Raw genomic sequence first — 14,836 nt, 5'->3', positions numbered from 1 at the left:
CACTGACAGAAAAGGCCCCACTCTCCAAAAAGATTTTTCTTTTCATCTCCTTTGTGAATAGAAACTCATATTTTCCCCCAGGTCTTTCCTGACCAAAGAGTTTAATCTCTTCCTCAAACCATCAACATGGTGACAGAACACTGGTCCCTACAAGGTGTGGTTTTACTTCTAATGGCTACCAAGGGCCAGAGACCAGAGTGCTGACACCATCCCATGTTTTCCAGAGTTTTGCCTGGACTTCTTGGGGGTCTGCCTCAAGTAAAAGGGCAAGGGGTGCAGGGGGTTGTGGAAGGATGAAGTCAGATGTTGCACAGCTGCAGCTCATGCCAGAGGAACTTGGGACGTGGCCCCACAGCTGTGAAGCAAGCCAAGCAGCCTGCCACGTCCACAGCCGCTGAGTCTCCAAGGGGGAAAAAGCCATAGAGCCAGATGTTACTTCTAGAAAAAAAAACTGCTGTGTGGAACTTGGCCTCTGAATGGTGCATCTGTCCAACTTACCTTCAGCTTGGTCAGAGACAGCAAAAACTCTGCTAGGAAGGCCTGGAAAAAAACAAAGAAGGAACATAACTTGACTATGAAAAGAAAGTTGTGGAATACAAATGTTTTTGCCAAAGCATTTATTCTGGAGTTTCTCAGTTTTCTTAGCTTGAATTGATATTTAAATGCCCTTTCTAGGAGGGAAAAAAGTCTGTTGATTAGATACTGATGCAGGTTCCGCTTGATTCTCCTTTTTTATCACATAGGGTTTGAGTAGGAAGCTTGGTTATACATTAGAGGGGAGAAAGAAAACCCTTCCATTGCCCTCAATTCTAGGCCTTTCCAGTACAATCTTCTCTCTGTGAAGTCACTGTGCCTTCCAAGTCTGCTGGGTATTGTTTGACAGGTTGTTTACTGCCCAAGGGTACCTGCATTACTCAGTGTTCTCCAGAGATACAATCAGTAGGATAAACGGAAGGAGATTTATTAGGAGGAATTGGCTCACGGAGTCACAGAGACGAAGTCCCACAATAGGCCAAGTGCAGGCTGGAGAATCTTAGAAGCGATAGCATGGCTCCAAGCTGGTAGTGTGGCTCAGTTTCTGTCCAAAGCCTTAGAACCAGGGAAGCTGACAGTGCAGGCCTCAGGCCCAAGAGCCCCCTTGGGAGGCTGCTGGGGCAAGTCCCAGAGTCTGCAAGCTGAAGAACCTGGAGTCTGATGTCCAAAGGAAGGAGGAGAAAAAGGTCCTGCTCTGTAGGGGAGAGAGACAGTAGGGAAGGTAAATCCTCCTTTTCCTGCCAGTTTTGTCCCAAATGGGCCTGTAGCTTACTGGATGGTGCTGGCCGCGTTGAGGGCAGGTCTTCCTCTGTCAGCCCACTGACTCACATGGCAATCTCTTCCTGAAACACCCTTACAGACACACCCAGAAACAATGCTTCACCAGCCATCTAGGTGACTCAATCCAGTCAAGCTGACACCTAACATTACCATCGCAGTGCCTGACTGAGGAAGAAGGAGGAGGCCAGAATCTAGTCTGCTTCCCACACATCAGGCTGTGCCTGTGCAGGCCTAGGTCCAACTGGGAGAGGCATCTTACCAAATAACACAAAAATGTGGTGCACTTGCCAAGCACTGTGTCCACAGGTTTACCACAGTCTGCTTGGGATGCCTTTTCCTAGTTAGCATAAAGTGTTACATGGACCCTCCCTAACCCCATCTCGTACCTCCAACCTGGAGTCACTGCTCTTTCAGCTGCTGGGCCAGTTGTCTCCACATCTTAAGGATGGATCTACCCTGACTACAATCCAGTGAGTTTGCAGGACTCTGTCTAGGGGCCAGAGCACCAAGTCTAGCCTTGAACTTGTATCTCCATTATGATGAGGGAGGTTTTACCCTGGGATGTAGGCCTTGCACTTATACTCAGGAGATAGATTCTTGTCTTATTTCCTGAGTCAAATTAACATCTCTGCTACCTGCCTGGTATCTTGGTCCCTTTAGAGTCAGGGACCTGTGCTAGTCTGGCCCTCGGCATGCCAGAGATTCACGCAGTGCTCCTTCCCCCCAGCCTGGCTGCTGAGCCCTGTCTCCCCAGTGGTTCTTTTCTCTACGCATCTCTGAATGTGACTGCTTTAGGGTGAATCTCCTCCTTCTTGTTCCACCCACCTGCCAATTTGTGTTATGCTCCTGATGTTGACAGCTTGCCTGGACCACTTCCTTTCTCTATAGCCTTGAACCCTGCAGACACTGGATTCTGCCTCTTGGGCTGAACTTCTTCTTGAGGCCTCTCCATTGGGTGGCTCTGTCTTTCCTAGGCTTCCTCATCTTGATGCAAGGAAGAAGGTACACACTTGGCCATGCATGGTCTGAGATGTAACAATTAGTTTTAGGAAGTGCCTACTTCTGTGAGCAAATAATCAATTACCTGTCATAGCAGCCACTCTTTCCTGAAACTGCCTTCCAACCAGGTGTGCAGTTTCTGAAATTCTACCAATGGCTTTACTTCCTCCAGGTGTCTTCTGGAGGAGTAAGGAACCGTGACCAGACAGACACAAATACATATGGCCATTAGTAATATCATTACCAAGCTAACTACAGGAATCCAGGGCAGTATGCAGGCATAAGAGGTCCAGGAAGAGCAGAACAGAAGACAGTTGTGTGGAGAGCAAGTGAAGAGAGGCACTGAAGACAAACTCTCCCATCCTTCTGACTTTACCTGGTCCCAGTCCTGGGTGAGCAACTCACATAACCTTAGGCTTTGAGATGGTTTGGCCTATCATGGGCCCTGAGAGAATATTGGACAAAAATGTTGTTCTTTAGAGTTTATGGAGAAAGAAACAGAAACAGGATTTGGTTATTATTTTGAAGTGGGCAGAAAAACTGAGGAGCAACCTAACTGCACCATTCAATAGATTATAATGCAAACAAGGACCAGAAATGGCTACTGTCAGAAGTGAGTGAGAAACAAAGCCTGGGGAAAGGATGTAGGATCACAGGTAAGTCAAACAGCAGTTAGTCCTCATGCCACTGACATTCAGCTTTCAGTATAATGTAGACCCTCCCACAAATACCTCTCTAGGACAAGCTGTAGCATTTCATGTCCTCTATGTTATTAAGTTATGGGCAGTACCAGCTGAGGGGAAGAACTTAATATGTGATTGACAGGTCCTTAAGTGGGAGGTGAAGACCTCCTGATGATTTTCTTGAAGCATTAGGATTGCTTCGTAAAAATTTTAACCCACCTTGGGAGGTGATCCAGCATGGCTGGAATGTGGCTTTGGTGTCAGCCACTAGTGGGTTCTTTCTAGTCCTGGCTTAACTGCTTACTAATTGTATGTGCTTGAGCACTTAACCTAAGCCCCAGTTTCCTCATCTGTGAATTGGGTGTGATAATAGTTCCTAGGTCATAGGGTATTGTGAAGATTGCATAGAATCATGTATTATTTCATGGTATGGTATTACAAAGCTCCAAATAGAATGTCTAGCAGAGCAAAAGTATTTGTGAGTGGTGCCTCTGTTTTTATTAGATGAATTGCCTATTTTCCCACAAATGACCTGGTCGTACTTCTCTTAGCAGAGCTTCTCCAAAAAAGTCAGATCCCTTTCATTTCTAAGTCTTCTGGTATATGAAAAAGTGAAATACCAAAGCATCTATATAGTTTACGTAATTGCATTGAACAAATCAATGATGTTAACATAAGCGCTCACATGCGATGCATCATGTAACACAATTGTGTTATTCATAAGATCCTGGTGCCCTACAGGGTGGTCATCCAGGGTTGAAAGTTCCAGGGTTGAAAGTTGGGAGGGACCCAAGTTTCAAGTTATGTGGAGAATGTCCTTCAGTCCCATTTTTGTCTTTCTGTAACTAAATGTTTAATATCATTTGGAGTTTAAGGTGAAAAGTCTATGTTTGAAGCTTGAGCTAATGGCTCTGCTAGCCCCTCATGTAGGAAGACCAGACTGTCTGAGAAATCCAAGCTGTACAGACCACTAATCTGTTTATTTCTGGTGGTAGAAATCATAGAGCTTCTGCTGTTCTCCATCAGTGTAACAAGGACACTCAGTTGAGGCTGAACTCCTCTGTACATCAGGAAGATCTTAACTTGGGATCAGCACTGGATCAGGAATGAGGAGCACTGTTTCATGGGTGAAATTCATCACCCATCATTATGAGATATGGAGGAAGGTGCTTCTCAGTGCCAGGCTTTCATGTCCTGGCATTCAATGAGGGGACCGGGGTTAGATCCTGCCTGAGGTCTCCACTCTAAATTTTTGTGATTCTATATATGCATGGAGTTTGCACATGTGCATGGGGCATGGTTTCTTGAAGGTTGAAGTAATCTAGCTGAGTAAAAGGTTTGATCTCAAAATGTTTGTATCAACTAAGTTAATCATAGCAATTTCTCCATAAAATAATTAAAGTTAATGGTTACCTTTAGAACTACTGGCATCTTTACGAGATCCAAAACATCAGGGAAAGCAGCAGCTGGAGATGAAAGGAGAGTAAGGAATCAATTCTGAAAAGACCAATGGTTAGAAAGGAACGAGTCTGGGGTAAAAACCAATAAGGTCTTCAGATGCAGCCTTGAGACCTCATCAGATATTTTCCGTGTAGTCCTTACTTCATTCAATTCCACTGAGTTTCCTTTTTAGCTTTTATTATTCACCTCTCTGTGCATTCATTATTCCACTTTTTTCTTTTAATTTTTATAATGCAAGGTTTAAAAAGACAGATGCTGGAATATTCTTGGGCAAGAAGATAATGAAGTCTGTGAAACAATTATGTCTGTTCTTATTTTTCCTCTCTGCCGGCACTGATCAATTGGAAAGTAGGAAAATATTTTTCAGCAAATAACTCACATATTTAGACATGCCTAACTGTTTAAATAAGGGATGAGAAAATAATAAGTGTATAACTATTTGGAGAAATAGTTAAACGTCTATTTTTAAGGTCTTTTGTAAAAGTGATTAATGCATTAAAAATAGGAGAGATGTGTAATCAGAGGAAAAGATTAGAAAGAAAAAAAACAAGATTATGCTCTGATTTTAAAAGTTTGAGAAATAAAGCATGTAGAAAAAGTTTTATAAGCAATTAAATTCTTTAATTTGTTTGAACAAAAATGTCTTTTGGCTAGAGAGACAGACTTCTTTATAAAATATCATTCACATTAGTTATTCAAAGATAATGGGACATTTACTATAATTCTAGATCAAGGCAGGTCCTAGGATGGCTTATGAGTCTGCCAGTTGCGGTTCTAAAACTTAACCCTTAACAGTTTTATTCCTTTAGGTCCTGAAGACCTTTTGTCCTTCTGAAGTTTCCAGTAAAAATGTAATGATTTCTGGATGGTATGGTTTACGTGTTTTAAGGGCAAAGGTGGTATCTCAGGGTGGCACCATGGCTGGAGAGGGGATGGAGGAGAATAATTCTTTCTATTTCACACATGTAGCTAGTGCTGTGTTCCCTGGGGCTGTGCAGAGGCTCAAGGCTGAGAGACAGAACAATAAGACTCATTAATTCAAATTCTGAGGGTTATCTTGATCAGAAGGGCAGGGACTCATTCTTGGATAGTGAAAGCATAGATTCCAGGGAAAAGAGTAATGACCCCTAAGTGCCTGGAATACTTGCCATTACCATTCATAGAGATTTCTTTTGTTCGCAACTGAATTCAACCTACTGTCTAGAGAGTTACTAAGTGAATCCGGGGAGGTAAAAATCCAGTTCATGTCTTTGCCTAGGGGGTCACTGGGTATCTTTCTCCACCTAGTGGCCAATGCCTCCTCATAAAGCTAAAAGACAATTGGTTATTATGGCAATGAAACAAGTGAGGTTTCTTGTTTTCCAATACTAGGCTATCAAATCACAGAATGAAGACGACGTTTAAGCATATGTTTGGAAAAGCCAGTGGGTGTATTAATAATTAGGTTGGCTTGCATAGCTTCCTTTGTTGAGATGACATGCCTTGCATTCTAGTGGAGAAAAAGCAGTTAGGAATGCTTGCTGATCAAGTAATGCACACAAATAGAGTTAAAGCTTGCGGCCAATTCCATAATATGAAATTTTCATACCATAAAACCCACTTTTCAAGAAGAGAAACAGATGAGGAGGATTAAAGAATTTTCAATTATTAGTTTTGCATGATTTTTGGATAATCTGTGTCTACACTATAGGTGCTCAAAAAGCGTATCACATTGAATTGAATTTAATAGATTTTCCTGTGCTTCAGTTTCTATTCATTACTCTTATTGTTTCTACTTTTCCAAACTAAAATCATATTCCATTAAAAACAAATACATCCTAAAGAAAGCATGTAATTAAGTTTTTTAGTTGTTTTCATGTTAGTCTCTGCAGCATTTGACACTGCTTTACACACTCTCCTTCTGGAAACTTTCCTCTTTCTCTCTGCTCTGGTTTTCATGACACCACCCTCTCCTGCTTGCCTCCTACTTCCCTGGCAGGATTATTCTACCGAGTTTGCTTTCCAGCATCACTCTCCTTTCATGTTCCCTTAGATACCACTGTTGCCTGAGGCTCTGGTCTTAGCCCTCTTATTTTCTTCAATGAATTTTCCTTCTTCTAGGATCACACATCAATATTTGAACTTTAATGCAGATACTGATGGTTCCCAAGTCTCCACCTCCAGCTCTCACTCATTCTCCCTTGAGTTCCAGACAAAAATTCCCCTCTATTTGTTAGATCTCTCCACCACAATATCCTGTGGGCACCTAGAACCCTGTGGAATCCTAGTTGAGCTCATTATTTTATGCTCTTCTGTGACTTGCACTATTGCCTGAATCTTCTATCTGGGTATGTGTCAACATTATTTAGTCTTCAGGATCCAAAAGGTGAATGGTGTTTACCTTCCTTACATTTCAGCGTTGATTCTGATACTACTACTACTACTAATTAGAATTTTCAAGCAGATGCTATTTTTCATACCCTGTGCTTAGCATTTCATGCATCACACCAGATAATTTCTTTTTTTCTTTTCTTTTCTTTTTTTTTGTTTTTTTTTTTGAGACAGAGTCTCCCTCTTGTCGCCCAGGCTGGAGTGCAGTGGCATGATGTCAGCTCACTGCAACCTCCGCCTCCCGGGTTCAAGCGATTCTCCTGCCTCAGCCTCCTGAGTAGCTGGGATTACAGGTGGGCACCACCCTGCCCAGCTAATTTTTGTATTTTTAGTAGAGATGGGGTTTCACTATGTTGGTCAGGCTGGTCTCAAACTCCTCACCTTGTGATCCCCCCGCCTCGGCCTCCCAAAGTTCTGGGATTACAGGCTTGAGCCACCGCACCCATCCCCACACCAGATAATTTCTGAACCCCAAGCCGCAGTGCATAGATCAGCTTGGTTTTAGTGCGGCTGCAGTGGGAATCTCTGTGTTTGAGGCCATCATTCCCTCTCAAGTATATGCCTTAGCTTTCCTGCCTCACGGCTTCTTCTGAAGCTGGGGAAGGTTGCCCAGTCAGTGAACAAGCCAGCCAGTTTGTGCAGAGAAGTTAAAGCTCCCAGGAGTGAACCTCAACAAACGCAGATTGGAAGTTAGTGTATAAACGCATCAGCTTCTCATCCTTAAGAGAGACAGTTTTGAGGACCATTCTATAAGGTTCCTCAGAAATTCCCCTGGAGGATTGAGCTGCAAGTGCTCAGCATGATAACCAGCCCACCAGTTCATCCTTAGCTGGCATGGCATTTCTCCCTCCCTGACTCACTCTTCCAACTCCTCCCTCCACTCTTTCACCTCCCCAACAAGCTACCTGATCCTAAGACCCATCTCAGGGTCTTCTTTCAGGAGAACCCAAATTCAGACATACTATGTAATTCTTACAACTGACCTTCCTCTGAGATAATACTATCCTTTCCTGAGGGAACTGAGGCACAGAGGTTACTAAACTTGCCTAGGGTTATTAAACCTACTAGTTGAAGAGCTGGGATTTGAGCACAGGCAGTCTGACTCCAGAACCTGCTGTCTGCCAAAACAATGATCTGAAGAGTACATGAAAAATAGCTGTGCACTTCTAACTGATTGGCCTTGATACGTATGTATCATTGTCCCTTCTATATTGAGATATTTTATCTCAGCTTTTTCCAGTTTTGAGAATTCTCAGCAGATTTTTCATTTGATATCAAGTAGAATGGAAAGATTCACAGTGTAAAAAACCTGTACAACTGAAAAGAAAACAAAGTAGACATATTTAAAAATTTTAAATTATATGCTGTCAAATTATGGTTATATATGTTTATAGGGTACAAAGTGATGATTTATGAATACAATATGTAATGATTAAATCAAGCAAATTAATATATCCATCACCTCAAACATTTAATATTTTTTGTGATGAGAACATTTAAAATTTATTCTCTTAGTGATATTGAAATGTATGGTACTCAATTATTAGTTATATTCCTCGTGCTGTGCATTAGGTCCAAAAAAATCGAACGTATTCCTTTTATCTAACTCAGGCTTTGTACCCTTTGACTATTGTCTCCCCATTCCTCCTATGTCCTCCAGCCTCTCTGTTAACCACCATTCTACTCTCTGCTTCTATGAGCTCAGTTGTTTTAGGCTCCCCATATTAAGTGAGAACATGTCTATTTGTCTTTCTGGCTTATTTCTCGTATCATAATATTCTCCAATACCGTCCATGTTGTCGCAAATGATATAATTTCTTCTTTTTTCATTGTGTATATGTACCACATTTTCTTTCTTTGTCTGTTGATGGGTATTTAGGTTGATTGTTTAATTTGGCTATTGTGAATAGTGCTGCAGTGAACACGGAAGTTCAGACATTTCTTTGACACAATTAATTATTTCAAACCTTCAGCTAAATAATCTAGAAGTGGGATTGCTGGATCATATGGTGGATCTATTTTCAGTTCATTGAGAAAGCTCCATACCATTTTCCATAATGGTTGTATTAATTCACATTCCCACCAACAGTATAAAAGTGTTCTCTTTTCTCCACTTCTTTGCCAACACTTATTTTTTGTCTTTTTGATAATAGCCAATTCTAACAAGCATGAGATGCTATCTCATTGTGGTTTTAATTTGCATCTCCCTAATAATTAGTGATATTGAGCATTTTTTCATTAATTTGTTAGTCATTCATATGTTTTCTTTTGAGAAATGTTTATTCAGAACTCTTGCCCATTTCTTAATTGGATTACTATTATTTTCTTTCTATAGAGTTGTTTGAGTTCCTTATATATTTTTGAAATTAATCCTTTATCGGATGTATGGTTTGTAAATATTTTCTCTGAATCCACAGGTTGTCAAAATCATTGTTCAGACCAATGTCATGTAGTTTTCCCTGCTACGTTTTCTTCTAGTAATTTTAAAGTTTCTGGTCTTATGGTTAAGAGTTGAGTTGATTTTTGTATATATTGTGAAATAAGGGTCTCAGTTCATTCTTTTGCATATGGATATCCAGTTTTCTCAACACTATTGAAGAGGATGTCCTTTTCCCATTGTATATGTGTCCAAAATCAATTGATTGCAGATGTATGGGTTCATTTCTGGGCTCTCTCTTCTGTTCCATTGATCCATGTGTCTATTTTTATGCCAGCACCATGGTGTTTTAGTACTATTGCTGTGTAGTATAATTTGAAATAGGTAGCGTGATGCTTCTAGCTTTGTTCTTTTTGCTTGTTATTGACTTGACTATTCAATATTTTTGTGGTTCCATATAAATTTTAGGAGTATTTTTAATGTATTTATAAAAATTACATTGGAATTTTGATAGGGATTGCACTGACTGTATATTTCTTTGGGTAGTATGGACATTTTAACAATATTAAGTCTTCTTATCCAGAAACATGGGATATATTTCCATTTATTTGTGTCTTTTTCAATTTCCTTCATTAATGTTTTATAGTTTTCAGTGTACAGGTCTTTCACCTCCTTGGTTAAATTTATTTCTAAGTAATGTATTTTATTTTAATATCAATCATAAATGGGATTATTCTCTTGATTTCTTTTTTGGAAAGTTTGTTGTTAGTGTAGTGCAACACTACTGATTTTTGAATGTTGATTTTTTTAAAATCCTGCATCTTTACTGAATTTGTTTATCATTTTTAACAGTGTGTTGGTGGACTCTTTATGGTTTTCTATATATAAGATCATGTTGTCAGCATATAGTGACAGTTTCATTTCTTCCTCTCCTATTTGGATGTCTTTCGTTTCTTTTTCTTGCCTTATTGTTCTGGCAAGAACTTCCAATACTGTGTTGAATAGAAGTGTCAAGAATGGGCATCCTTGCCTTCTTTTGGATCTTGTAGGAAAGGGTTCCAATTTTTCACTGTTGAGTATAATGTTAGGTATGGGCTTATTATATATGGGCTTTATCATGTTGAAGTACATTTCTTTTATATCTAATGTATTGAATTTTTTTAATCATGAAAGGATGTTGAATTTGTCAATGCTTTTTCTGCATCTAATTAGGTGATCATATGACTTTTGTTCCTTACTCTGTTAACGTGATGTACATGTTTATTGATTTGCATATGTTGAAACCTCTTTGCATCCCAGGCATAAATTCAATTTCATCATGGTGGATGATCCTTTTAATGTGTTGTTGAGTTTGATTTGGTATTATTATGTTGAGGAGTTTTACATTTATGTTAATCAATGATATTGGCCTGTAGTTTCATTTTCTTGTGATGTCCTTGTCTGGCTTTGGTATAAGGGTAATGCTGGCCTTGCAGAATGCGTTTGAAAGGGTTCTCTCCTCTAATTTTTTGGAAGAGTTTGAGAAGGGTTGACATTAATTTGTCTTTAAATGTTTGGTAGAGTTAAGCAGTGAAACCATCAGATTTTGGGTTTTTCTTTGATGGGAAACTTTTTATTACTGATTCAATCTCCTTACTTGTTATTGGTCTGTTCAGATTTTCTATTTCTTTGTGATTCAGTCTTGGTAAGTTGTGTGTGTTTAGGAATTTATCCATTTCTTCTAGGTTATCCAATTTTTTGGCATATAGTTGTTCACATTAGTCTCTGATGATCCTTTGTTTTTCTATTTTGTTGGTTGTAATGTCTCTTCTTTCATTTCTGACTTTACTTGAGTGCTTTTTCTTGGTTATTCTACCTCATTTGTTGCTTTTGCTTATTTTTTCACAAACCAACTCTCAGTTTCATTGACCTTTTGTTTCATTGACCTTCATTGCTTTTCTAGTCTCTATTTTACTTATTTGTGCTCTAATTGTTAATATTTCTTTTCATATGCTGATGTTGGGCTTAGTTTTTTTAAATTTTCCTGAGGCATAACATTAAGTGGTTTATTTGTGGTCTTTCTGCTTTTTGATGTAGGAGTTTATTGCTATAAACTTCCCTCTTGGAACTGCTTTTGCTGCATCCTGTAAATTTTAGTGTGTTGTGTTTCCATTTTCATTTGTCTCAAGATATTTTTAAATTTCCCTTCAAATTTTTAAAATTGATTTATTGGTTGTTCAGGAGCATGTTGCTTAATATCCATATATTAATACAGTTTCCTAAATTCCTCCACTTATTGATTTCTAGTTTCATATCATTGTGCTTGGAAAGGTACTTGATATAATTTTAATCATCTTAAATTTGCCAAGACTTTTCTTGTGGGCTAATATATGATCTATCCTGGAGAATGTTCCATGTGCACTTGAGGAAAATGTGTATTTTATCCATGCTAGATGGAACTTTTGTGTATGCCTGTTAGGTCCATTTGGTCCAAAGTGTTCTTCAAGTCCAGTGGTTCCCTATTAATTTTCTGTTTGGGTGGTCTGCTCATTATTGAAAGTGGTGTATTAAAGTCTCCTACTATTATTGTATTGTAATCTATCTCTCCATTCAAATCTTTTAATATTTGCTTTAGATATGTAGGTGCTCCACTTTGGTTGCATATATATTTACCTCTGCTATATCCTCTTGATGAAGCAATTCTTTATAATGTCTTCCTTTTTCTCCTTTTACAGTTTTTGACTTAAGTCTGTTTTGTCTGATGTAAGTATTGTTATCCCTGCTTTCTTTTGGTTTCTATTTGGATGAAAAGTCTTTTTCCATCCCTTCACTTTTAGTTTATGTGTGTCCTTAAAAGCATACAAAAGGTGAGTTTATTGTAGGAAGCATATAGTTGGGTCTTGTTTTTTAAAATTCATTCATTCACTCTACAATTTTTTTTGGAGAATTTAATCTATTTACATTAAAGATAATTATTGCCAGGTAAAGACTTACTACTGCCATTTAAAAGATTGTTTTCTGGTTGTTTTTAGATCTTTGTTTCTTTTTTCCTCTGTTGTTGTCTTGCTTTGTGGTTCGATGGTTTTCTGTAGTAGTATTTTTTGTATCTTTGTGTGTGTGTGTGTGTGTGTGTGTGCGTGTGTGTGCTTTTTGGTTACCATGAGGCTTATGTAGAACATCTTACACTCATAACAGTCTATTTGAAGCTGATAACAATGAAACTTTGATTGCATACAACTCCATGCTTTGACTTTTTCCTATTTTATATTTTTGATGTCTGAATTTATATTTTTATGTAAATGTATATTATCATTTTGTAGTATGTATCCCTTTCCAATTCATTTTAGCTGTAGTTGTTATGAATAGTTTCATTCTTTAACCCTCCTACTAAGGATAAAATTACTTGACATACCACCATTACAGTCCTAGAGCATTCTGAATATTGCTCTGTATTATTTATATCATTGAGTTTTTTGCTTTTGTAAGTTTTATGTTATTAATTAGCAGTTTTTTGTTTAAAGTTTAAAGAACTTTTTTTTAATATCAATTCTTGTAATGCATGCCTAGTGGAGGATGAACCTCCTTAACTTTTGTTTATCTGGGAAAGTTTTTATTTATGCCTCATTTATGAAAAGCAGCTTTTCTGGATGAAGTATTCTTGGTTTGTGATTATTTTCCTTCAGCACATTCAGCACATTGACTCTATCATCCCACTCTTTCTTGGCCTGCAGGTTTTGTGCTGAGAAGTCCACAGATAGTCATATTGTGACTCCTTTGTACGTGATGTATTTCTTATCTCTTGAGGCTCTCAGAATTTTTTCTTTGTCTTTGATTTTTGGTAGTTTAATTATTATGTGTTTTGGTGAACTCCTCTTTGAGTTGAATTTGATCAGAGACCTTTTAACTTCTTGTACCTGGATGCTGGCTTCCTTCCTCAGATTAGGGAAGTTTTCATCCATTATTCCTTTTAATATATTTCCTGGCTCTTTTTCTCTTTCTTCTTCTTATATTACTATTACACATAAATAAGGTCTCTAAATGGTGTCCCACAATTCCTGCCGGCTTTCTTTATTTCTTTCTCTTTTTGCTCCTCTGATTGGGTAATTTCAAATGTTCTGTTTGGAAGCTCACTGATGTTTTCTTTAGCTTGATTGAGCTGGATGTTGAAGCTTTCTATTGAATTTTTAATTTCAGTTATTGTATTCTTCATCTCTAGGATTTCTCTTTGGTTTAAAAAAATGTTTATTTCTTTGTCGAACTCCTTGTTTTGTTTGTGTATTATTTTCCAAGTTTCATTTAATTTTTAATTTGTATATTCTTGAAATTCTTCTTCTTCTTCTTTTTCTTTTTTTAAAGAGGATCATTCTGAATTCTTTTTCTGACGTGTCATAGATCTCCTTTTCTTTAGGGTCTATTGTTGAAGATTTGTTAGTTTCTGTTGGAGGTATCATGATTTCCTGAGTCTTTGTAATTCTTGCATTCTTGCATTGGTGTCTGTGCATTTGCAGAGACAGCTACCTTTTCTGGCTTTTATAGGTGTCCCTTACCAGGAATAGACCTTCACTATTTTTTTTTGTTTATTTTTATTTTTTATTGATCATTCTTGGGTGTTTCTCACAGAGGGGGATTTGGCAGGGTCATAGGACAATAGTGGAGGGAAGGTCAGCAGATAAACAAGTGAACAAAGGTCTCTGGTTTTCCTAGGCAGAGGACCCTGCGGAAGGCCTTCCGCAGTGTTTGTGTCCCTGGGTACTTGAGATTAGGGAGTGGTGACAACTCTTAACGAGCATGCTGCCTTCAAGCATCTGTTTAACAAAGCACATCTTGCACCGCCCTTAATCCATTTAACCCTGAGTGGACACAGCACATGTTTCAGAGAGCACAGGGTTGGGGGTAAGGTCACAGATCAACAGGATCCCAAGGCAGAAGAATTTTTCTTAGTATAGAACAAAATGAAAAGTCTCCCATGTCTACTTCTTTCTACACAGACACGGCAACCATCCGATTTCTCAATCTTTTCCCCACCTTTCCCCCCTTTCTATTCCACAAAGCCGCGATTGTCATCCTGGCCCGTTCTCAATGAGCTGTTGGGCACACCTCCCAGACGGGGTGGTGGCCGGGCAGAGGGGCTCCTCACTTCCCAGTAGGGGCGGCCGGGCAGAGGCGCCCCTCACCTCCCGGAGACGGGGCGGCTGGCCGGGCGGGGGGCTGACCCCCCCACCTCCCTCCCGGACGGGGCGGCTGGCCGGGCGGGGGGCTGACCCCCCACCTCCCTCCCGGATGGGGCGGCTGGCCGGGTGGGGGCTGACCCCCCACCTCCCTCCCGGACGGGGCGGCTGGCTGGGCAGAGGGGCTCCTCACTTCCCAGTAGGGGCGGCTGGGCAGAGGCGCCCCTCACCTCCCGGATGGGGCGGCTGGCCGGGCGGGGGGCTGACCCCCCCCACCTCCCTCCCGGACGGGGCGGCTGGCCGGGCGGGGGGCTGACCCCCCACCTCCCTCCCGGACGGGGCAGCTGGCCGGGCAGAGGGGCTCCTCACTTCCCAGTAGGGGCCGCTGGGCAGAGGCGCCCCTCACCTCCCGGATGGGGCGGCTGGCCAGGCGGGGGGCTGACCCCCCCACCTCCCTCCCGGACGGGGTGGCTGGCCGGGCGGGG

The 14,836-nt window shown here is 40.2% G+C and overlaps 2 long non-coding RNA genes across 2 annotated transcripts in view, besides 2 other annotated features; one reads left to right on the top strand and one right to left on the bottom strand.

Moving 5' to 3' along the window:
• Window positions 1–602: 602 nt before the first annotated feature.
• Window positions 603–2,224, bottom strand: LOC105370530 (uncharacterized). Its single transcript, XR_943933.3, has 2 exons — window positions 2,140–2,224; window positions 603–1,228 (listed from the first exon to the last, which is right to left on the bottom strand). It is a non-coding gene; the product is annotated as an uncharacterized LOC105370530 (long non-coding RNA).
• A 660-nt stretch (window positions 2,225–2,884) lies between these two features.
• The window catches only part of LOC105370531 (LINE-1 retrotransposable element ORF1 protein-like), a 58,110-nt gene continuing 46,158 nt past the window's right edge, over window positions 2,885–14,836 (top strand). The window contains exon 1 of the long non-coding RNA XR_943934.4: window positions 2,885–2,969. This is a non-coding gene — a long non-coding RNA (LINE-1 retrotransposable element ORF1 protein-like). The remainder of the gene's footprint in view (window positions 2,970–14,836) is intronic.
• Window positions 7,126–7,301: a silencer, noted in NCBI's record as "fragment chr14:63640011-63640186 (GRCh37/hg19 assembly coordinates)". NCBI's record gives its function as "represses an EF-1alpha promoter that drives an FKBP-Casp9 reporter gene in an ReSE screen in K562 erythroleukemia cells {active_cell/tissue: K562}" and the evidence as "EXISTENCE:reporter gene assay evidence [ECO:0000049][PMID:32094911]".
• Window positions 13,761–14,422: an enhancer, noted in NCBI's record as "NANOG-H3K27ac hESC enhancer chr14:63632890-63633551 (GRCh37/hg19 assembly coordinates)". NCBI's record gives its function as "activates a minimal SCP1, AML or CMV promoter by ChIP-STARR-seq in primed H9 embryonic stem cells {active_cell/tissue: H9 hESC(primed)}" and the evidence as "EXISTENCE:reporter gene assay evidence [ECO:0000049][PMID:30033119]".

Source organism: Homo sapiens, chromosome 14 (assembly GCF_000001405.40).
Source record: "Homo sapiens chromosome 14, GRCh38.p14 Primary Assembly".
NCBI classification, from domain to species: Eukaryota; Metazoa; Chordata; class Mammalia; order Primates; family Hominidae; genus Homo; species Homo sapiens.
The sequence above is the reverse complement of the archived record's forward strand: the minus strand, read 5'-3'. Positions and strand labels throughout refer to the sequence as shown.